This window comes from Homo sapiens, chromosome 10 (genome assembly GCF_000001405.40).
Source record: "Homo sapiens chromosome 10, GRCh38.p14 Primary Assembly".
In the NCBI taxonomy this organism is placed as follows: domain Eukaryota; kingdom Metazoa; phylum Chordata; class Mammalia; order Primates; family Hominidae; genus Homo; species Homo sapiens.
Window position 1 is genome coordinate 103,479,480 of NC_000010.11, and position 23,355 is coordinate 103,502,834.

At 50.0% G+C, this 23,355-nt stretch overlaps 1 protein-coding gene and 1 long non-coding RNA gene across 2 annotated transcripts in view, besides 5 other annotated features; one reads left to right on the forward strand and one right to left on the reverse strand.

Annotated features, from left to right (window-relative positions):
- Positions 1-123: 123 nt before the first annotated feature.
- Positions 124-23,355, reverse strand: part of NEURL1-AS1 (NEURL1 antisense RNA 1) — a 37,840-nt gene continuing 14,608 nt past the window's right edge. Inside the window, exons 3-4 of the long non-coding RNA NR_120675.1 lie at positions 15,082-15,256; positions 124-518 (exon numbers count right to left, since the gene is read on the reverse strand). This is a non-coding gene — a long non-coding RNA (NEURL1 antisense RNA 1). The remainder of the gene's footprint in view (positions 519-15,081; positions 15,257-23,355) is intronic.
- Positions 11,136-11,205: a silencer, noted in NCBI's record as "silent region_2781". NCBI's record gives its function as "represses an Ori minimal core promoter by ATAC-STARR-seq in GM12878 lymphoblastoid cells {active_cell/tissue: GM12878}" and the evidence as "EXISTENCE:reporter gene assay evidence [ECO:0000049][PMID:35858748]".
- The window catches only part of NEURL1 (neuralized E3 ubiquitin protein ligase 1), a 98,842-nt gene continuing 89,712 nt past the window's right edge, over positions 14,226-23,355 (forward strand). Inside the window, exon 1 of the mRNA NM_004210.5 lies at positions 14,226-14,993. Within this exon, the coding sequence (NP_004201.3) occupies positions 14,909-14,993 (85 nt within the window). The 5' untranslated portion in view covers positions 14,226-14,908. The remainder of the gene's footprint in view (positions 14,994-23,355) is intronic.
- Positions 14,435-14,584: a silencer, noted in NCBI's record as "silent region_2782". NCBI's record gives its function as "represses an Ori minimal core promoter by ATAC-STARR-seq in GM12878 lymphoblastoid cells {active_cell/tissue: GM12878}" and the evidence as "EXISTENCE:reporter gene assay evidence [ECO:0000049][PMID:35858748]".
- Positions 14,571-15,120: an enhancer, noted in NCBI's record as "H3K4me1 hESC enhancer chr10:105253807-105254356 (GRCh37/hg19 assembly coordinates)". NCBI's record gives its function as "activates a minimal SCP1, AML or CMV promoter by ChIP-STARR-seq in naive H9 embryonic stem cells {active_cell/tissue: H9 hESC(naive)}" and the evidence as "EXISTENCE:reporter gene assay evidence [ECO:0000049][PMID:30033119]".
- Positions 14,595-14,724: a silencer, noted in NCBI's record as "silent region_2783". NCBI's record gives its function as "represses an Ori minimal core promoter by ATAC-STARR-seq in GM12878 lymphoblastoid cells {active_cell/tissue: GM12878}" and the evidence as "EXISTENCE:reporter gene assay evidence [ECO:0000049][PMID:35858748]".
- Positions 14,805-14,904: a silencer, noted in NCBI's record as "silent region_2784". NCBI's record gives its function as "represses an Ori minimal core promoter by ATAC-STARR-seq in GM12878 lymphoblastoid cells {active_cell/tissue: GM12878}" and the evidence as "EXISTENCE:reporter gene assay evidence [ECO:0000049][PMID:35858748]".

The window sequence follows — 23,355 nt, forward strand, 5'->3', positions numbered from 1 at the left end:
AAAAGATGCTGATGGAGCCAAGGTAGTATATTTTCTGGTCTTGATCAAAAGCATGACTCTGAACTTGTCTCACAGGCATAGTAAAACAACAGCAACAACAACAACAAAATATGACGACTCAGCTCAGCCCAGGGAGATTTCATGTTGGCTTTCAGGCTAGGAGGAGCCAGAAGGGGCACCTATTCCTGACCGAAGGCTTCCTGGAAGAGGAGACCCTTGAGAGGAGTCTTCAACGATGTTTCAGCATTTGCCATGAAAGGGGTAGCGGAAGGGGATGGCCTCCCTGGGCGACGTGCTAAACATTGTGCATTAACCACTGGGTGCCCATGGGAGAGGCTGCTCAAGTGCCACGCCCACACCTGCATGGCTTTCCCCCTGCCCTTCTTCCGTGTGAGGGGCATGCGTTTGAAATCACTGCTTCTTCTCCTAACTCTCCCACATCACTAGGTCTCTCCTTGTGTCTCAGTTCCAGTCTCTCCGAAGGATGACAGCCCAGATGTTTGAGGGACCCCTGAAACCTGCAAAACGAATTTTGTAAAGGTCACTTGGCCCATATTGTAAGTCAGATCATCCCAAATAAGTCTTGCAAATTTCGTAACCATCTGTGTGGTCTGTACTTCTGATGAAGACAGACAGAAACCTGGGTCTTACTTATTATTATTATTATTATGAGATAGAGTCTTGTTCTGTCACCCAGGCTGGAGTGCAGTGGCACGATCTTGGTTCACTGCAGCCTCTGCCTCCCGGGTTCAAGTGATTCTCCTGCCTCAGCTTCCAAGTAGCTGGGATTACAGGCACCCACCACCACGCCCAGCTAATTTTTGTATTTTTAGTAGAGACAGGGGTTTTGCCATGTTGGTCAGGCCGGTCTCGAACTCCTGACCTCAGGTGATTTGGCCCCCTTGGCCTTCCAAAGTGCTGGGATTACAGGCATGAGCCACTGAGCCTGGCCACTTAGTATTTTTATTTTCCATATTTGTACGTTACTCTAGGTCCTATGAGACAGATTTCCCTGTGTGAGGGAAATGAGGCACTGGAGAAGATGGGGAGAGCCACCAGTGGCCCTGTGAGTCTGACTCTGAGCGGAGGAGAGGGCGGGGCAGGGGTGAGAAACCCTTCAAGCCAGGAGGACCACCACAACTTCAGGTGGGTACAGTCCCAGAGGGGCTGTTGGAGGTCACATACCCTGGCGGGGACAGAGCCAGGGAGGAAGCTGGGATCCTCCATCTGTGCCTTTCAGCCTTAGTCACCCACTGGGCTGCTGACCAGAAAAGGGGACTGTCCTGGCCCAAGGCCAGGCTTCGTGACCCTGAACCAGCAGGGCTGGTGTGGAGCAGGCGGGGAGCTAACTGGGCTGGGAGGGTCATGAGCACCCCTCAATCCCATTCTAGTCTCAGGGAGGGATAGAGTGTCCTAAGGGTCCCCAGCCACTCTAACCTTGAGAGTTCAGAAAACAATAGACAATGCTTCTGGAAGAACACTTTGAAGAAAACTGGGTCAAAGACTCCAGGCCAACCTTTTCACAGCTCCAGCCTCTGAGAGGTAAGACAGAGCTACCAGGTCAGCCTGGGTCCCTGGAGCCCTGCAGGGCAACAGGTGCTGAGTGACTGCAGCGGGGCTGACCCTTGCCGGGTATTTACAGGAAATACTTCAGTAAAGAAACAGGCCAGAAAGAAGCCCACCACAAAAGGGATATTATCTGTCAAAGAGAGGGGATGGCTTACATTTTTTTTTAAATCTCTATTTTCTGAATTGTCGACTTTTATAATAGTAGACATAATAAATCATTACTATAATCATAATAATGATTTTTAACTATTTCCAGCAAAAATCATAAAACATTTTAATTAGAAAAACATAAAAAGATAAAAGGACAAGGCAAAAAGGAGAATTCCATTTTGTTGCCTGGAGCTTGGCCCTGCTGAACTAGTAGAGAGAGAACTAGAGGCAGCAATAAATGGAGAAAGGCTTCTTTTACTCACACATATGGAAAGATATTAAATTGCAGATCTGGCCGGGCGTGGTGGCTCACGCCTGTAATCCCAGCACTTTGGGAGGCCGAGGCAGGCAGATTGCCTGAGCTCAGGAGTTTGAGACCAGCCTGGCCAACATGGCAAAACCCCATCTCTATTAAAAATACAAAAAATTAGTCGGGCATAGTGGTGCATGCCTGTAATCCCAGCTACTTGGGAGGCTGAGGCTTGAGAATTGCCTCTCTTGAGGCTGAGGCATGAGAATTGCTTGAACCCAGGAGGCGGAGGCTGCAGTGAGCCCAGATCATGCCACTGCTCTCCAGCCTGGGCAACAAAGAGAGACTAAAAATAAATTACATTTTTCTTTTTAATAATGATTTAATCTTTTTTTTTTTTTTAAAACCAGTTGTAAATATGTGTTAATTTGCAATTGGAAGATCTTTATAGAATAAATCTTTGGTACTTTCTTCATGTTATTTTGTTTTATTTTCAAATTGGAGTCTTGCAGATATATTCTTGGGGGTCTTCCAGTTTTTTTTGATCTTTGCAAAGGAGTCTGGATATTATTTGAGAAACACTGGCTTCACCGTTCTTGGAGTTCCTGTTATTGAGAGGGCTGTTTAGGACTAGATGCCCCCTACTGGAGAAACTCGTTGTATGTGATGTGTGAGAGATGTGTCTATGTACCTGTGTATGCATGTGTGTACACATGTATGTGTATGTGCGTAGTGCATGTGTACATATTTGGTGTGTGTATGCATGTGTGTTTTCATACATATGGGTGTGGCCGTCTTCCTACTTTGTATATGGTGAGTATGCCCTCCCCTGACAGTTCTTTCTTTTCTTTTTCCTTCACAGGGAAGGCATTGAACGTGCGTCCCACTTCTCAGGACTGGGAGACTGTTGTTCTGTGTGTCTAGCAGAGGGTGGTGCCCTTTCTGTCTCTCGGTGGCGTGATTCTCTGCTTCCCTGAGGACACAGGCCTTTGAGCGGTCCTGGCAGACCCGGGGAAAGCAACGTGGCACTTCTGTGGGCCCCACTCTGGTGACTCCACAGAGCCGTGTAGCCCTAAGGGCAGAGACAGGCTGGAAATGAAATGGGGCCATCTAACAGATGGCGCTGGAACAACTGGCTAGCCATTCGGGAGCAATCTCTACTTCATGCTTCATACCAAAATAATTTTCACATGGTTCAAAGATTCAACATAAAAATTAAAATCATAAAAATTCTACAGGAAAACGTAAGGGAATTTATTCATAATCAGAGGCTAAGGAAGGCCTTTGTGAACAGACCCCAGAATTTAGTAGCTGTAGAGGAGTAGATGGACAAGTAAGAGTCATAAAAACTAGACGCTTCTATGGGCAAACATACCAATAAACAAAATAAAAATAACAAACTGAAGGAAGGGTATTTGCCACACAAAGGCCTCTTTTTCTTAATTTGCAGAAGGCTCATATAAATCAATCCAAAAGACGAACAATCCTCTAGAAAAATGGGTAAAGGATTTGAACAGGTTATTTGCAAAAAAAAAAAAAAAAAAAAAAAAAGAGAGAGAGAGAGAAAAGTGACCAAACATCCTGAAAAAATTCTAATCCTCATTCATAATTAAATAAGAAATGAAACCACCAGTTGCCTTTAAAAATTGCCAAGTTGTTAGCAACTGAAAGATTGATACTTCCCAGTGTTGATGAGGCTTAAGGAAATAGCTACTTTTCATCTATGGTTGGAGTACAAATGGGTAGGTTTTTCATGGAACAGTTTAGCAATACATTTAAAGCAAAAATTTAAATACACATGCCCTTTGACTTAGTAATTACAAAGTCTGTATTCATCCCATGGGTAGCTTTGCAGAAGGAGCCATGATAAACAAACAAGAATGTTCATTATAGCTCTTTTAATGACAATCAAACTGGAAGCAATCTAAATTTCATCAACAGGGGACTGTTTAAATAAAATATGACACAGCCATAAAATGGGATCCATGCAGTCATTAAAAGAATGAAGCAGGCCAGATGTGGTGGCTCATGCCTGTAATCCCAGCGTTTTAGGATGCCAAGGCGGGCGGATCACCTGAGGTCGGGAGTTCGAGACCAACCTAGCCAACATGGTGAAACCCTGTCTCTACTAAAAATACAAAAAAATTGGCTGGGCGCGGTGGCTCACGCCTGTAATCCCAGCACTTTGGGAGGCCAAGGCGGGTGGATCACGAGGTCAGGAGATCGAGACCATCCTGGCTAACATGGTGAAACCCTGTCTCTGCTAAACAATACAAAAAATTAGCTGGGTGTGGTGGCGGGCGCCTGTAGTCCCAGCTACTCGGGAGGCTGAGGCAGGAGAATGACGTGAACCCAGGAGGCGGAGCTTGCAGTGAGCCGAGATCGCGCCAGTGCACTCCAGCCTCGGCGACAGAGCGAGACTCCGTCTCAAAAAAAAAAAAAAAAAAAAAAATTAGCTGGGCATGGTGGTGTGTGCCTATAATCCCAGCTACTCAGGAGGCTGAGACAAGAGAATCACTTGAACCCGGGAGGCGGAGGTTGCAGTGAGCGGAGATCCCACCACTGCACTCCAGCCTGGGTGCAACAGAGCGAGACTCCATCTCAAATAGTAATAATAATAATATTAAAGTATTATTATTGACATAAAACAAAATAATCAGGTTTAAATCTTAACATTGTTTCTGACTGAGGAACAGAACATGGAACTGTTTCCCTGGTTGATAATACTTTTTTTCTTTTTGAAACAGGGTCTCACTCTGTTGCCCAGGCTGGATGCAGTGGCACGATCATGGCTCACTGCAGCCTCAGCCTCCTGGGTTCAAGTGATTCTCCTTCCTCGGCCTCCCAAAGTGTTGGAATTGCAGGCATGAGCCACGGTGCCCGACCATAATATATTTTTAACTCCTGTTTTTCTAAGAAGAGATAAATAAGCCTGAATTTTAGAATATTATTTTCTCTTCCCTCTTACATGACTAAGAAACTATAAAGGTAGATTTTCTGCCCAAACGGAAATGACGTTTCCAGACCCTGAAAAGCGGGGCTGGTGCTCTGGCTAGGAGATCCTGCGACCATCGCATGTGACACTACATGTTGGGCCAAATGCAGAGACCTGGGGGCAAAGACAGGCAGGCTGCTTTGGGGGAAGAGGGCACCTGGATAGAGTTTCAGCTCTGGGGGTGATCGGGTGCACAGAGGGCCAGGCTAGGAAGCACCTCTGTTGTTGACTACACACCCTCAAGCTCTGGCCATGTAGTGACAGACGTTCCCTGGGCATCTGCGGAGTGCCAGGGGCTGGGCTTACGCAGATGCCCATACTGGGTAACTGGACACAGCCAGAGGGGCATCCCGGTGTGAGTAGCGGTGCTCTGGAGGACTGTGACTCAGCTGAAGTTTGGGGAGCCTCGGCCTCAGTCCTGGGAGAGAGTCTCTGCAGGGAGCTTTGGCCTTCTGTCCTACGGTCACCATGACAGGGAGAGCTCCTCTGCTGCCGGAGACCCCATCTCAGGATGAAAGGTAAAACGTGGCCTCAGTGAAGGGCACATACTCAGAGGGGAACATCTCAGTGATTGAAGAGGGGGCCAGTTTCCTCAACGGTATATTTTCTTTACCATGAAGTAGCCAATGGAAACTAGAAGGGTATATGTTTTCCCAGCAAAACTCTTTTCATTTTGAAAGAGGAAAAGAGCAATCCGTAAACATTTATTTATTTATATATTTTTGTTTTGAGACAGGGTCTCCCTCGCCTAGGCTGGAGTGCAGTGGCGTGATCACTGCTCGTTGCAGTCTCAACCTCCCCAGGCTCAGGTGATCCTCCTACCTCAGCCTCCTGAGTAGGTGGGTCTACAGGTGCACACCATCACACCTGGCTAATTTTTGTTTCTTTGGTAGAAATGAGTTCTCACTATGTTGCCCAGGCTGGTCTTGAACTCTTGGGCTCAAGCGATCCGCCCACCTCAGCCTCCCAAAGTTCTGAGATTACAGGCATGAGCCACCGCACCTGGCCTCATAAACTTTTTTTTTTTTTTTAGACGGAGTTTCACTCTTGTTGCCCAGGCTGGAGTGCAATAGCGCAATCTCGGCTCACTGCAACCTCTACCTCCTGGGTTCAAGCGATTTTCTTGCTTCAGCCTCCCGAGTAGCTGGGATGCACCACCCAGCTACTCAGTGGCATGCGCCACCACGCCCCACTAATTTTGTATTTTTAGTAGAGACGGCGTATCTCCATGTTGGTCAGGCTGGTCTCGAACTCCCAACCTCAGGTGATCCACCCGCCTCGGCCTCCCAAAGTGCTGGGATTACAGGTGTGAGCTACCGCGCCTGGCTCTGGTAAACATTTTTAAGGTGTTTTGAATGGCTTGAGGGCTCCCCAAAAACGTTTGTCAGAGACAAAGGGGATTCCAATGGAGTTGTAGTGTCACCTAGTGGTGGCTGGAGGGAGGAACTGGGGTGAGAGGAAGGGAGAGGCGGGACACACAGCAGGTCTGCTCTTTTGGCTATGAGAAAAACTTCCCCCAGCTATCGTCCCTGGGAAGAGAGCTGCCCTTGGGTGTGCTCTGGGACTGCTCTGGGGAAGGGTGCGTGAAAGGGAGATGTCACACTGCCAGCAGCAATTGGAGAAAAGTCTGCTCCCTGTCCTGGGTCTCACGCTAAAGGCATTTGGTGTGATTTAAGGCTGCTGGCTTCTTGGAGAGATGCCTCCTGACTCCTATTTGTCTTTCAACTTTGGCCATGAAGGAGTGTTACACTTTTATGTGGTCATATTTATCATACTTTTCTTTTATGATTCTCTGGTCTTTGTAACGTTCTTGGAAGGGCCATCCTGCCAAGTAAAGGCCACTTAAAACATCTGTGAGAGAAAAGAGGATGCTGGGGGTACTGCAGCCATTTCGAGCATCTTTCTTTGATTTTATTGTCTTTTTACTCTGTTTTGTGTTCATCAGTAGCTGTGTGCTCCCTGGCTAACTTCCAGAAAGCTGAGCTGAAGCCACCAGGCATCTTAGGTGTCCTCAAGCAGGAGGGGGCTGGTTCAGGAGCTCAGTGAGGAGGCCTCCTTTGCCACAGGTGTCTCCCTCAGGCTAGGGACGTGAAGGAATTCCACCCTGGTGCAGGCACAGTATCATGGGAATCAGGACTCAGGCTGTCCTAGGGCTGTGCCTCCACGCCTCCCCCATCAGCTCCTAGGCAAGTGACTTAGCCTCCTGAAGCCTCGGGATTTTTATTTGTAAAATAGGAATAATAATAGTAATAATAACAAGAACAAAAATAGTACCTATCTCACAGGGTTGTTTCCAGACTTAAATGAACTAATGCATCTGAAGTGCTTAGACCAAGGCCTGGGACACATGAGTAAGTGCTTCATAAATGTCACCTGTCACAGTTATCTGAGCAAGTGGCCCTGGGATAGATCAACTGATGCTGGACTTTGAAGTCAGTACACAACTGTCTCAGATGGAGACACACTGTCCTCTTTCCGACATTGGGCATTTTCTTTTTTTTCCTTTTTTTTTTTGAGATGGGGTCTTGCTGTGTTGCCCAGTCTGGAGTGCAGTGGTGGGGTCTCAGCTCACTGCAACCTCCACCTCCAGGGTTCAAGTGATTCTCTTGCCTCAGCCTCCCAAGTAGCTGGGACTACAGGCATGAGCCACCATGCCTGGCTAATTTTTCATATTTTTAGTAGAGATGGGGTTTCGCCATGTTGGCCAGGCTGGTCTCAAACTCCTGACCTCAGGTGATCGGCCCACCTCGGCCTCCCAAAGTGCTGGAATTACAGGCGTGAGTCACTGTGACCGGCCAACACTGGGCATTTTCCTTTCTGCTTCATGGAGGAACCTCCTTCCGTCCTTTCAGATACAGTCTTGGGAGTGCTTGGCCTCAGGTCTGGATTTTTTCCATGGGTGCTATGGGTACTTAAGCCTATGAACTTTTAAAGCATCTGCTTGAGACCAGAAAAAAACATTACTGTCCTCAAGTTATGAAAGGAAAACTTCAAACCAAAATTAATAAATGTTCACTTAAATGCCTTTGTTGTATCAATGTCATTGATTGCTAAATGTAGTACTCATAAACATTTCATTATATTTGAAGACAAACATAGTTTTTTTCTCACTTGGCAAGGCATCCAGCACACGCATGATTGCTTAGAAATAAAACCAGTTGTAAATTCAGTGAGTCCCTTGTCATCCAGTGATTCCAAAAGCCAAATTTGTAAAAATCCTTTCAAAATGTTTACTGCAAGAAAATGATGTTTAATGTGGAATGCGGTATATTTTAGTACATTTGGCCTGACAGGGTTGGGCTCCAAAATAAGAGTTTGGGGGTCTATGAAGACCTCACAACTGATCCTGGATTCAGGGGCCACCTCCCAGAGGGCAAGTTTGTCTGTGGGGCAGAGGAAGGGGCTGGGATTCACCCCTGCTACCTCCTTGCACAGTCACCTCTTCCAATAAGTTAGCCCTGCTTGTGTGGCAGCCAGCACTGGCCTGGTCCCCATGGGGTGTCCAGCTTTCCCCCGAGAAAGCCTGTAGGCCTTCTTTAAACACCGTCTTCACAACTAGAACATGTGACCATGTGGAGCAGTTTCCCAATGTGTAATCAATAAATGACCTGTATCATACTCTGCTCAATCTAAGTCTCAAGGGGTGAGGTCTGGGAGTCTGCATTTTAGTAACTTTCTCCCCCTCTCCCCAAGGCCTCATAGATGATTCTGATGCACGTTTAAGTTTGAGAATTATTAGTCTAGAGTGTGTGTGCACCCCAGGAGGAGGGCAAGATGATCCCTTTTTCAATATCATTAGTCTATGTTTCATAATATACATAATATGAATACAGTAGTGCATTTTTAGAAATTATAAATAAAGAAATATACATATATTGGTGTACACACTTTAAAAATTTATTACTGCTAGGGGTGCGTGATCAAAAAAGTTTGGAGCTCAGAGCAACGTGCCCAGCCCAGCTATGCGGTCAGACCTGCTGTATGTTCAGCTCTGAACCTGGGCCTGGGAGGTGGGGAACTGGGACTGGAGTGCACAAAAAGCAGAGGACAGGCTGCCCCATGGTGCTAGCAAGGAAACTGCATCTCATCAGCGCCAGGGATACAGGTAGTGCTCAATAAATGGTCACTGGGCAATGAGTGAAGCTGAATCCCAAAAATACCTGGGAATAAGATGGCATAGGGCCCATTCCATCCTAAAATGGGCAGCACAGACTTCCATCCTTCAGAGGGAGGGCCCGACAGCTTAATCCATCCATTTCTTTATTCATTCATTTATTTAATAACTAGTTATTGAGTATGCACTAGGCATCAGGCACAGGCACTCAGAGATCTACCCCTCCAACTTGTCCAGCCACCCCCTGAAGTTCAGACAGGACACCACCCTCTCCCCCGACAGCTTTTCTGATAGTCTGATTAACTATGGGCTGGTGGCTGGGTGGACATGGTGGCACATGCCTATAATCCCAGAGCTTTGGGTGGCCTAGTCGGGACCTGAAGCCAGGAGTTCAAGACCAGCCTGAGCAACAAACTGAGCTCTCATCTCTTACAAAACACAAATAAATAAAAAATTAGTCAGGTGTGGTGGCGCATGCCTGTAGTCCCAGCTACTCGAGATTGAGGTGGGAGCATCGTTTGAGCCCAGGAGGTCGAGGTTGCAGTGAGCTATGATCACGCCTCTGCATTCCAGCCTGGTGACAGAGTGAGACCCTCAGCTCTAAATACCAAAACCAGGCGGAGTGCAGTGGCTCACGCCTGTAATCCCAGCACTTTGGGAGGCCAAGGTGGGCAGATCAATTGAGGTCAGGAGTTCAAGACCAGCCTGGCCAACATGGCAAAATCCTGTCTCTTCTAAAAATACAAAAATTAGCTGACCGTGATGGCACGCACCTGCAATCCCAGCTACTCAGGAGGCTGAGGCACGAGAATTGCTTGAACCCAGGAGGAGAGGTTGCAGTGAGCTGAGATCATGCCACTGCACTCCAGCCTGGGTGATAGAGTTAGACTCTGTCTCAAACAAACAAACAAATAAACAAAACCCAAACAAAATGAAACAATGGGCTGGGACTTGGGGAATGGGAGGGTGCTACCTGTGGTAGCCAGGGATAGTTGTGGCTGTTTCCCATTTTAAGGTTAATTTCTCTGCCTGGAGGGAGGTGTCATGCCATTGACTAGGGTGGTCTCAATTCAGGGGAGTCCAGCTTGGCCTAGAGGCGCCCCACTTTTGTCTGCCTGAGGAAAGGTCATCACTCTGGTTGGTTCTGAACTCAGTATCCAGAGGCTCAGGGAAGGGAGTAGACTCTCAGTTAAATATGCTATTATTTTATCAACGCGGTAACTCTTCAAGACTTGAATGGATCTGGAAGCTATGGAGAGAGAGAAAGAGGAAGGGAGGTAGAGAGAGGCGAACCAGGCAGGAGCGGACAGCCAGGGTGGGAAGAACAGAGGTTGCAAGGAGAGAAAGTGACCAGGGTGGGAAGAAGCAGAGAAGGAAGGGCAGGGGGAAAGACGAGAGGGGGTGGGAAGGGGGTAGAGAGTGAAAGAAACCAGCAAGGGCCAGGTGCGGTGGCTCACTCCTGTAATCCCAGCACTTTGGGAGGCTGAGGCGGGCGGATCACTTGAGGTCAGGAGTTAGGGACCAACCTGGCCAACACGGTGAAACCCCATCTCAATTAAAAATACAAAAATTGGCTGGGCACGGTGGCTCATGCCTGTAATCCCAGCACTTTGGGAGGCCGAGGCGGGTGGATCACGAGGTAAGGAGATTGAGACCATCCTGGCTAACACGGTGAAACCCCATCTCCACCAAATATGCAAAAAATTAGCCGGGCGTAGTGGCAGGCACCTGTATTCCCAGCTACTCAGGAGGCTGAGGCAGGAGAATGGCGTGAACCCAGGGGGCGGAGTTTGCAGTGAGCTGAGATCGCGCCACTGCACTCCAGCCTGGGTGACACAGCGAGACTCCGTCTCAAAAAAAAAAAAAAAAAAAGAAGGAAAAAAAATTAGCTGGACATGATGGTGTGTGCCTGTAGTCCCAGCTACTCGGGAAGCTGAGGTTGGAGAATTGCTTGAACCTGGAAGGTGGAGGTTGCAAGATTGCAGTGAGCTGAGATCGTGCCACTGTGCTCCCACTGGGCAAGACTCTGTATAAAAAAAAAAAAAAGAGAAATCAGCAAGAAGAGAGCAACAGGGAAGGAAGGGAAGGTGGGAGTGGAGCTGCTGTTGAAGGAAGCTTCCTCAGGTCCCTGCCTGGGGCCTCCCTCTCCTGCATGCCTGTGTGTGCACTCACAACACCTACGCATGCACATACAAGGACACAGGTGTTCGCGAAAGTGCACACGTGTGCACTGACACCCACCCCCTCAGGCACTGCCCGCAGAATCTGCACTGCTGGGTGTGTGGGTGTTGCCACGGTGACTGGTGCTGGAGCATCACCTTGTGGGTATTAATAGCTTCCCCTGAAGCCATCAAAACAGTGACTTCATCAGCCCCAGTCTCCCTGGCAGTTTCCTTCTTCCTCTTCCCTTCCAGGATGGGTCTGGGAAGGGTCTTCTGGATCAGAGCCACCACCCAGGCACCCCACCCCTATGAGCTGCCTTGGGGAAGGATGGCAGGAAGGCCTCTGAGTTCTGCCCAAGGTCTGGGGGTAAGGAGACTGCTGGCCTTCTTTAACCCTCTGAGCTGGGTCTACCCTAAGTCCCTGCCAGGGAGGAGTTGCTGGGGCACAGGACTCCTCAGAAGGGCCACGCTCAACTTCTCTGAGTCCTATGCAGCCACACCAACCTCCTCTAGGTCCCTTCCTGGCCAGAGACCTAGTTGACTCTAACAGTGGTGTCCCCTCTTCCAGTACAGAGCTCCCTGAAGTACTAGGGTGAAGGTAGAGAGGGGCCTAGGGCGTGAAATATAAGAGGACCTAATTCCCAGGCTCGCGCAAGTGCAAGCTTGGTATCTGCATGAACTTGAGAGTTGGCGCCTTCTTCAATTTTGCGCCAGGGATGCCTTGGCTACCTCATCCTATCCCAGCCCTATTGATACTCCCATCAGCTCCTCAACCCTCAGTTCCCTGCCTTTGTCCCTGACGCCTCTCACCTTCCTTTGGGACTCCCTGGGATCACGCTGCCCTGAACTGCAGAACCTGGGCTGCCTCTGGACTCAGGTGAGCATCCGCCTCTGGCCTTCACTTCCCTCCTTCCCTTTGACGTCTTCCTCTCTCCCCTGCTTTGCCCATAGCCCCAGGTCTAGGCCATGTGGGGCCTGTGACATCCCTTTGTCAGGCGCGGTGGCTCATGCCTGTAATCCCAGTACTTTGGGAGTCCGAGGCAGGTGGATCACCTGAGGTCAGCAGTTCAAGACATCCCTGCTGTGCTCTACCTTTGGGGCCTCATCCCCTCCCCCATTCCCCTGCCCACACCAGGCTTCCCTGGAGCCACCGTCTGTAAATCCTAGCTAGGCCCTTGTACTTCAAACACACTCTAGCAGGATGAGTCTCAACTATGCAGAGTCCTCATATTTGTTCTAACTTGTGAAAGGCCTGATTCTAGTGGCCACTCACAGTGACTTCATTCCGGCAGATTTCAGGGGGAATATAAGTGTGTGTGCTTGTATAGGTGTGAGTGTGTGAGATAGTGTAGCGGTGTGTTAGCACATGTGTGAGTGTGTTGCCATTAAGAGCCTGTGGATTTCTGATGCATGAGTCATTAGCTGGGAGTGAGCCTTGGGAAGATACTGCCCATAAATAAGACAGCCATCCCTGACCTGCTGTGGCCATCTGCAGCTGCCTGCACACGTGATCCTGGGCATCTGGGAGGCTGGAGGCCGGGTTCGGGGCTGCCTTTCCCTCCAGATTCCAGAGAGACAGTGGCTGTCACAGATATTTCTAGCTTGCCTGGAGTCCCAGACATTTAAGGGTAGAATGCCTGGAATGGGGATGGAGAGAGGAGAGTAGGAGAGGAAAATAAAGGGTGGTTCAGGAGGCTCTGCCCCCAGGGATCTCAGTGGAGCCTCCTGGCCCACAGTGGGAAGCATGCATTCCACAATTATTTTCTGAGAATCTGTCACATGCCAGGCATTCCCCCAGTGGGTAAGGACACCCTGGTGAACACGACTGACCTGTGCTCTCCCCTCACAGAGCTTATGTTCTAGCAGGGAGGCAGAAGATAAACGAGGAAAGGCTACTTGTAAACAAGTTCCATATAAAAGCTATGATGAAAATAAAATGGAATATTGTGGAAAGTGACTGACAGTGGAGGGGGTCCTTTAGTTGGGGCAGTCAGGGAATGTCAGGACACGAATTGTGCCTAGATAATGAGGAGCTGCCAAATGGAGACTTGGGGGAAGAACCTTTATTACAGAAAAGGATACATGAGATGTCCCCCTGCCCACCCATGTCTTCACTGGACTCTGGATCTGAGTTGCTGAAGCCAGAGCAGGGAGCTAGAGATGACTTAGAGGAGCAGGAAGTCTGATTCCCTGGGGGGAACCTTGGAACATCTTCCATCCCTGATAGACCAGGAGAGATGCCCCGGGTCCAGGAAGGAGAAGAATGACTTCTGTTTCCCTTCCTGAAGGCTTCTTGGTGCAGTGTTGAGCTACAGGAAGGCACTAGCCACATGAGCAGGGCCCTTGCTGAAACCCCCTTCCTCCAGGAAGCCTTCTTTGACTGCCATAGGCTGCAGAGGCTCCTCTCCCCCACCTTGTTATAGCTAACAGAACCACTCAGTTCAGAGCTGGTGGTCTTCTGATGATCTGTCCCGGAGATCTGTTCCCTCAGCTTGGCCAGAGCTCCAGGCTTGTGAGTCTGGTCCGCGGGCATTCAAAGGCCCTCAGTGGCATCTGTGCATCAGTGAGACTGCCCGGGGTTCCTGCTCTGAACCCTTGCCCTAGTGCCCCTAGCCTGGCTGAGAACGGAGGGTCAAGTGCCGGGGTTCTAATCTCAATTACTTTATCCAAGCATCCGCTCGCTCATTTACATGTTTCCCTGGGCTCTCCACTCTGCGCCAGGCCCGGTACCTGGAGCTAGGGAAACCGAACATTAGTGCTGGCTCGCCCGCCCCCGCATCCGGGGAGCTCGGCGTTCTCGCGGCCCTGCTCCCCTTGTTTTCAAGTGCAAGTTCCATGTTTCCGTGCTGGGAATAAGGCCAGCCCCGGGTGCCACCATACTCGCCTGATGTCTTACCCCGACCCGCGCCGCCGAGAGCTTGCGGCTACGGGAACGCGGCGCGCCCCGGGGCCACATCTGGCCTAGCGGGCGCGCGCGTGTCACTAAGACGCTCATTCACCGGCGCAGCTGTCACCATAACAACCGGAGCGAGGGAATCCTGGAGACTGCCGGGGCGGGGGGCGGGGGCGGCGGTCGCAGGAGGGACCCGGCGCGGGCGGGACCGCGGCGGTCGGGGGACACCAGCTGCGTCGGAGCGCCCAGAACGCCCCGCGCTCCGCCGAGCCCCGCTCCACGCAGACCCGCGGGCGGGAGGGAGCCACGCACATCGCCGCCGCGGCCGTCTCCGCGGGGCGGTAACCGAGCCTGCCTCGGAGCCGCCGAACGCCCACGCCAGCGACCCTGACTCTATGGCCCCGGGGGAGCGCGCCGGAGCCGCCGCGCCGCCCACCCCCAGCCGGAACCCTAGCGTCCCGGGGAGCAAGCGGGGAGCCCCGGGCGTCCCCGGCCCCGGCCCAGGGCCCTGCTTGTGGCCCCCGCTCCCGCCACGGGGCATGGGAGGCAGGTAGCCCAGCCTGCGCCAGGACACCCGTGGCGGGCGGAACCCGCCAAGGACCGCGAAGTCCAGAGAAAGGAAGCTGAGGAGCTGCCCGCCCGCCCCCGGCTGCAGCCCCAGCAGGGCCCTCCCCCGGTGGCGCGCACCCGCGCGCGCACACTCGCACACCGCACCTCAGCGCCTGCCCGGCCTCGCCCCCACCCGCGAGCGCCGAACCTCCTGGGGCCGGATGCCATGGGTAACAACTTCTCCAGTATCCCCTCGCTGCCCCGAGGAAACCCGAGCCGCGCGCCGCGGGGCCACCCCCAGAACCTCAAAGGTAGGCTCCCCGGCCGAGCGCTGCTGGAGGACTGGGGCGCAGGTGGAGGGCCAGGGAGGTGTGGTTGGGGAGGGCGGGCAGACGCCACCTGTTGTGCGTGTCTGGAGGCCGGAGATGCACCTCTGGCCGTGGAGTGGGCTGGGGGTGGAGGGCAGCCGGCGATGATGGTGATGGAGGATGGCGTCCCGCGGGGTCTGCGCAGTTCTGTCTGCTGGCACTGGGAACGTCACTGGAGTCCCCTCAGGCCATGGTCTTAGGCGAGCCTGAAGAGATGGGAAAGGATGTTTGCCAGGTCGATAGGGGAGTGGGGAGTGAGGAGGGAAGCTTGGGTCGTCCGTGTCTCCAGGGAGGCACCTCGATGGGTCTCCTTTCCATCGGCCCTAGGGCTGGAGAGACCAGGCTGGGAGCACTAGTTGCATTTCCAATGGGAGGGTTTTAAAAATTCAGGACAGGATTACAGCAGCCTGGAAGAAAGGGTCAGAGCTGCTGGTTCCTGGGGTCCTTTGCAGCCGTTGGGTTTTTGCATCCATTGAATTAGTTTGATTTCTGGTTTTCCCAAAGACCAGATATCCAGTCAGAGCCCTAGAAAAGAGGGTCTGGGAGCCTTGAAACAGAGGGACATTTACTAGGAATGTCTTTGCTCTTCACCTCCCCAGATCCACTCAGCACCCTCAGGGTGGCCCTAGGCCCAGTCTCCCCATTCGGAGCCTGCCATTCCTGTCTTGGATCTTCCAATGCTGTCTCTGACCTTTGGAAGACACTGCTGGGTCCTCCCGGGCCCTCAGACCCTACTAAATTCCTTCCGGAAGGTGCTTTTCTGTCACCTCAGAACCAGTGGCACTTGTCCTGGGCATGATGGCTAAAAGCCAGGAAGGGAAGCCCTTGGGCTTTCAGAAAGAATACCCCACTTCCTAAGCTCCTCAGGTTATGAGAAGGATAACAATAGTGCCCTTTAACACAAGGCATCGAACTTTCTCAAACACATTTTCAGTGAGCATGGACACTGCTTGGGGTAGTCAGCAGAGCAGAGCTAATCACACTATACCCATTTTACAGATGAGGAGAACCAAGGCTTGCTTCAGGTTCCCAAAGCCAGCCAGACCTCGGCGCTAGGTGCTAGGCTGTAGACCCCTATCTTTTGACTTGGAATTCTGTCCCTTCTTTTGCTGAACAGTTAACTTTTAAGACCAGGGAAGAGGAGGAGAGATAGGACCACTGTCCTGCATTCTAATACTCCAGCTCTTTCAGAACTTCAGCTTTCACTTGGCTCAGGAAAATCAGTGGATTTGTTGTGTCTTTCTGGAAATTAATATGGCAATACATGTCAAGATACTTTAAAAATATCAATTTGTTGGCAGGGTGCGGTGGCTCACGCCTGTAATCCGAGCACTTTGGGAGGCTGAGGCAGGTGGATCACTTGAGGTCAGGAGTTCCAGACCAGCCTGGCCAACATGGCGAAACACTGTCTCTACTAAAAATACAAAAATTAGCCGGGCATAGTGGTGCGTGCCTATGATCCCAGCTACTTGGGAGGCAGATAGGCAGGAGAATCCCTTGAATCTGGCAGATGGAAGTTGCAGTGAGCTGAGATCGTTCCACTGCACTCCAGCCTGAGCGACAGAGCGAGACTCTGTCTTGCTAAAAAAAAAAAAAAAATCAGTTTGTTGACCTTGTAATTCTACCTTGAGGAATTGATACTAAGGAAGTGGAGATGCAGGAATATATACTTATGGCACTAGGCTAGGATGTTCATGGCAGTGTTATTTATACTAGGTGGATAACCTAAATGCTCAGTAATCATGGTATATATTCTTGGTAGAGTACTATGCAGTGATTACAATTATATTTGTGAAGAATAGTTGATGACTGTGGAAAATGCTCACAGTATAACGACAGAATACAAAGTTGTGAAGACTGTATGATCCCAATTTTGTTTAAAAAGTGGTGTGAATGCAAAAAACCCCAACAAAAACAAAACAAGCAAAAATGCTTGTAAAGTTTCCAAAGGGTTAACAATTATTTCCTCTGGGTATAGGATCATATGGGATTGCATTTTTTCTTTTTTATATTTTGCTCTTTTCTAAAATTTCTATAATAAGGAAGTATTATTTTTGTAATCAGAAATAAGCTATCAGTGTTAGCAAGTATGAAGACTGTTTCTGAGCATTGGAAACAGATTCCTAATGAACCTATGAATATCGTTCAGCTCAACCTTCTCTGCAAGTGAGAATAATGAGGGAAAAGAATAATTATTTGCCCAAATTAAAGTGGCAAAACTTGGCCCTGTCCTTCAGGGGGCAAGGGTTAGCTGGGGGCAGGGGTTAGTTGGCCCTTAATATTCACAGACTATCTTCCTGAGAAGGTCTTGCTCCATCCTTGACTCTGTGGAAACCCAGAGAGCTCCCAACTAATTGCATCTTTTTAATCTAAAATTTGGAATTGTGGGGATCTGAGGTCTCTGTGGCTAGGGTCTTTGGCAGAAGGCAGGAGTGGGGGCCCCATCCACACACCACTGTAGGTGACCATGGGAATTTTGATCCCGCCCCTACTAAGCCTGAAATGAAGGACAGAAGGTACCCATGAAGGCCGCCAGTTGTTGGCTCTGTCCTTCACCCAAGGTCCACTGATCCTCCTTCTCAGCTTGACTTCTAAGGACTTCTTCCCGTCTTTCTACCCTAATAGAGCCATCACCTTTATTCTGTAATTGTTTAGTGTTTATTCCCAATTCTCTTCTAAATGTATCAGCATTGACCTACGAGTCTTCTCTGGTATATCAGTGGTCAGCCAGAAGTTCATTCTAATTGTGTTGGTGTTGACCTGATAGGCTGTGATGCTAACTGCCTAGCCAGAGTTCTGCTGGGATGGCGTCTGTACTCAGCTTGAATTCATCTCTAATTCTTGTCAGTGCTCATCCAGAAATTTGCTGGGAGTAGGGGTGGAGTGACTGTCTTGATTTTTTTCTCTCCTTACATAATTTCAGTCTCTTGATTCCTCACCATTTTAATTAAAACAACTGGAAGGGACCTGGTATAATGGGGATCCTGGGACTGATTGGAGATCTAAGATTGGTCTGGCTGTTAGGCTGACATGACATGGGACATGGGACCCCACCATCGCCTCTCGGGTGATAGACTTTGGTCTTCTTCCTGGGAACACACTGACCCCACTCTGCTGCTGGTGATTCCCACTGGGTTCTGAACAGCGTTGGTCTAGGAGTGTTCAGGGGAGAGGTCCACGGTGTAGCTCTGGGCTTAGAACCAACAGGCAGTGCCCGAGGAGCTCCCATGTGCCCAGCTCAGAGATAAGACACCCCTGGGCTTTCCCAGGCTGGAGATCTACTCAAAAGGCATGGATGAGGGAGTGAATGGAATCAAGTGTTTGCTTGGTTGTACTGTCGAAACCCAGATATGTGGGCAGAGGTCAGACAAGGGGTATCAGGGGAGGATCTGAGCTGGACATGGAGGGAACTGCAGGAACTGGACAGAAAGCAAGGGATGCAGCAGAGTCCTAGGGTGTGGAAGAAGGGGGAAAGGCACTGACAGTAAAGGCTTGGAGGGGCTTGAGCGTATATCTATATATTACATGAAATAGAAAGTATATGTATATGGAAGTTATGTATATATTTTCAGTGAGGGGCACAGAGTGACTGGGGTAGGGTGCACAGGAGGTTCATGCCTCTTGGAGAAAAATACAAAGAATAAAGATTTTCCTCCTTGCCCAGGTCTTTCTGAGTGCCTGACTGGATGGGCTACCTCCTTTTATTTTTTATTTTTGAGACGGAGTCTCGCTCTGTCGCCCAGGCTGGAGTGCAGTGGCGCGATCTCGGCTCACTGCAAGCTCCGCCTCCCGGGTTCACGCCTTCTCCCGCCTCAGCCTCCCGAGTAGCTGGGACTACAGGCGCCCGCCACCGCGCCCGGCTAATTTTTTGTATTTTTAGTAGAGATGGAGTTTCACCGTGTTAGCCAGGATGGTCTCGATCTCCTGACCTTGTGATCCGCCCGCCTCGGCCTCCCAAAGTGCTGGGATTACAGGTGTGAGCCACCGCGCCAGGCCCATTGTTTTTTATTGTAAAATTTATATAACCTGAAATTTACCATTTTAAAATGTATAATTCAGTGGCATTTAGTACATTTACAATATTGTACAACCACCGCCTCTACCTAATTCCAGAATATTTTTATCATCCCAAAAGGAAATGCCATGCCCATTAAGCAGTCACTCCTGTTACCCTCTCCCCTGAATCCCTGGAAACCACGAATCTACTCTTTGTCTGTATGGACTCGCCTATTCCAGGCGTTTAATATACATGGAAGGATACAATATTTGTCCTTTTGTGTCAAGCGTCTTTTACTTAGCATAATCTTTTCAAGTTTCATCCATGTTGTAGCGTGCACCTTTTTTCCTTTTGTGGTTGAATAATATTCTATTGTAAGAGTATGCCACATTTCACTTATCCATTCATCAGTTGGTGGACTTTAGGATGTTTCTACCTTTTGGTTTTCATGAATAATGCTGCTATGAACATCTGTGTCTAAGTCTTTGTTTGAACACCTGTTTTCGGTTCTTCTGGGTATACACCTAAGAGTACACCTCCCATCTTTCAAAAGGTGGTGCTTCTTGAATTGGATACTTCACAAAGTCACTGGTTGTGACAGTTGTAGGAAGGCCGTCCCCCTCCAGCTCTGGCTGGGTGTGACGCCAGCGAGACACCTGTTGTTTTCAGTCTCTTTTCTATGATGGCTGAGGCTGCTGGGGGGCTGAAGGAGAAGCTGCAAAGGTTGACTAAGGGTCTTGATTCTTGTGGTGGGCCAGAGTGTCTGTAGACCCTGAATTTCCTCACTACTCTCTGGGGATGAGAGCAGGGGCAGGGGAAGGCTCATCCTTGGACAAGGTCTTAGCTATTTTTCTTTCTCTCCCTCCCTCCCTCCTTCCCTCCCTTCCTTCCTTCCTTCTCTTCTTCCCTCCTTCCTTCCTTCCTTCTTTCCTTCCCTTCCTTCCTCCTTCCCTTCCTTCTTTTCTTTTCTTTTCTTTTCTTTCAGCTGGAGTGCAGTGGTGGATCTTGGCTCATTGAAGCCTCAACCTCCTGGGCTCAAGTGATCCTCCTGCCTCAGCCTCCCAAGTAGCTGGGACCACAGGCCCACGCCACCACTCCTGGCTTATTTCTGTAGGTTTTTTTTTAAGAGATGGCATCTTGCCATGTTGCCCAGGATGGTCTGGAACTCCTGGACTCAAGCAGACCTCCTGCCTTGGCCTCCCAAAATGCTGGGGCCACTGTGCTCAGCCTCTAGCCATTTTTCTGCATTCACATTCTCGCTGCTACTTCCCCTATCTGAGTCCTCATCCCAGATATTGCCACAGCTGCCATCCTAATTGGCTTCTCTGCCTCCGGTCCCTCCTTCGATGCTGCCGGAGTGATTCTCCCAAAGTACTATCTTCATCATACCCTTCCCCGCTTCAGTCACCATAATGGGATATTCAAGGTCTCCATTCTTTGGTCAACCCACAGATCTTCCCTCAGCTCTTGTCTGGGCTCCTTCCTTGGTTGTCATGACGCTTGCAGATTAGGTGAGCTCATCCAGCTCTCCACCCCCGGGAATGCAGCAGACGGATCTAGGGGGTGCCTGGTGGCCTCCTCAGAGTGACTGGCTGCGTCAGCCCCGTGTTGAACCCAGAGCACCCATCCTGCATGCCCTGTTGGTTTTCAGTTCGGTTTTACCTTTGAACCCTGTTATGTTAATTATCATAATAATATTTACAATAGCTACCATGCACTGGGTGGTTACTTTGTACCAAGTTCTTATATGTGGATTATTTCCATTAATACCCTCCCAACAACCTACAGAAGGAGGTAGCATTGTCACTGTTTTACAGATGGGGGAAAAGGGGCTAAGAGAGGTTAAGTAACTTATCCCAGTCCACACAGTTAGAAACTGATGGGGCTGGGATTCAAAGCCAGGGCTCTCAGACTTTAGAGTTTATTATTGTGATCGCTGTATTATCCTGCCCCTGTAGCATTTAGCCTTGGGTGGGCTCTGTCTTTCATTGTGGGAGAGAGATGGGGGAGTAATTTTTGCGTCTCTGGACAGAGCCCCAGGGCCGGGAAAGGGCACACAATGGGGTTCTTGATGCTTTCTCCCTTGGCTAACCAGAAGATCAGGAGGGCTGTGCTAGTCTGGAATTCCCAGCCTCCTCCCCCTTACGCTTTCTTCGGGGTTTTAGACACTTTGGAGGAAACTTGTGGTTCTTTGGGGCCAGTGTTTCTCAGAGTGAGGTTTTTCTACTGCCTGCATCAGCATTAGCTGGAAGCATGTATACCATGCAGGTTCCCAGCCCCCAGCTCAGACCCGCTGACTCAGAATATATTGGGGATGGGACCCTCAAACCTGCGTGTTTAACAGGGTCCTCAAGATCTGAGAACTGTTGTGACTCTGGGGCCTCAGAACAGTCCTACTCTTGCATGCTTGGAGGAGGTGGGACCAGGCTCCTCAGAGGAGGAGAGCCCAGAGTTGGATGGGGGAGATTTGGAGGGGAGCTAGAAAGGTGTCTTGGTGAGTGGGCTGGCAGCAAAGGCACAGAGGCAGAGAAACACAGGATGTGTTCAGGGATGGTGAGCAGTCCTCTTGCCTGGATGTGGGGTCCCCAGTGGGGAGGTTAACAGGTCAATCTTTGAAGGTAGGCTAGGGTCATATCTTGGAGGGCCTATGATATTAGGACGAGGAGGTTAGATTTTATCCTGTAGGCATTGGGAGCCATGGACAGCTTTTGAGCAAGATGCATGTAGTGATTTTATTTCAACAGCACCAACAGTGGTGGAAGGCAGGCTGGGGAGAGGAGGAGATGAGGCATCTTGAGCTGCTGAGAGGTTCACAGAGGCTGTCAGCCTTCTGTCCTAGGCCACGCTGAAAGGGCTGGGCGTGACAGCCAAGCTGACCTGCTCATCTGGAGTTCCCATGGGCAAGTCTGAAAGCATTTCCAACCCACAGCTATGGGCAGCAGGACCACTGCTCATAGGCAGGAAAAAAAAACAACAAAAACCAGCAATGAAAGGATTTTTAAGAAGCCCAAGTTCTGATGCTAGGTGTATTCATGTAAATAAATTCATTTAATCTCCCCATAAAGGAGAGGTAGGTATTATTCCCACTTTATTTATTATTATTATTATTATTATTATTATTTTGAGACGGAGTTTCCCTCTTGTCACCCAGGCTGGAGTGCAATGGCGTGATCTCAGCTCACTGCAACCTCTGCCTCCCGGGTTCAAGTGATTCTCCTGCCCCAGCCTCCTGAGTAGCTGGGACTACAGGCGCCTGCCACCAAAGTCCAGCTAATTTTTGTATTGTTAGTAGAGACAGAGTTTTGCCATGTTGGCCAGGCTGGTCTCGAACACCTGACCTCAGGAGGTCTGCCCGTCTCGGCCTCCCAAAGTGCTGGGATTATAGGCGTGAGCCACCACACCCGGCCATTATTTATTTATTGTAGAGACAGAGTCTCTGTATGTTACCCAGGCTAGATTCAAACTCCCGGGCTCAAGCGATCCTCCTGCTTCAGCCTCCTGAGTAACTGGGACTGCAGGCGCACACCACTGTGCCAGGCTCTTATTATTCCCATTTTATACACGAGACAGCTGAGATTAATGGATGTGAAGAGTGCTGCCCAGAAACACTGAGCTAGGAAAGAGCAGGGCTGGGATCTCTACTCAGGACACCAAAGCTGATCAGCGAGGAAACTGATCTTGGGGGGAATTTCTCCATATTAGGACTCTTTTCCTGGGCCCTCTGGGATGGTGTCTTAGTCGGCTTGTTCTGCCATAACAAAATACTACAGACTGGATGGCTTAAACAATGGAAATGCATTTTCTCAGAGTCCTGGAGGCTGGAAGTCTGAGATCAAGGTGCCAGCACTGTCAGGTTCCATTGAGGGCCCTCTTCCTGGCTTTCAGGTGGCTCCTTCTTGCTGTGGCCTCACATGGCCTGTCCTTGGTGTGTGCATATGGAGCGAGAACGATCTTTCTCTCTTCCTCTTATTATAAAGCCGCTAATCCTATCAGATCAGGACCTCACCCCTCTGACCTCATTTAACTTAATTACCTCCTAAAGACCCTATCTCCAAATATAGTCATATTGGGCATTAGGGTTTCAATATATGAATATTGAGGGGGCGGGTAAAATTCAGTCCATAGCAGATGGCATGTGCTCACTTCCAAGGTGTGCACAGTGAGGCACAGGCATTGGTTCTAAATCACAGAGCCCAAGATGGAGGCAGGACGAGCAAAAGCAGTAAGAAAAGGAGGAAGAGTGAGGATAGGAAGGAGGGTGGGAGCTGGGCACTGCCCAGGGTGTGCCAGGGCCGCCTGTTTCCTGTT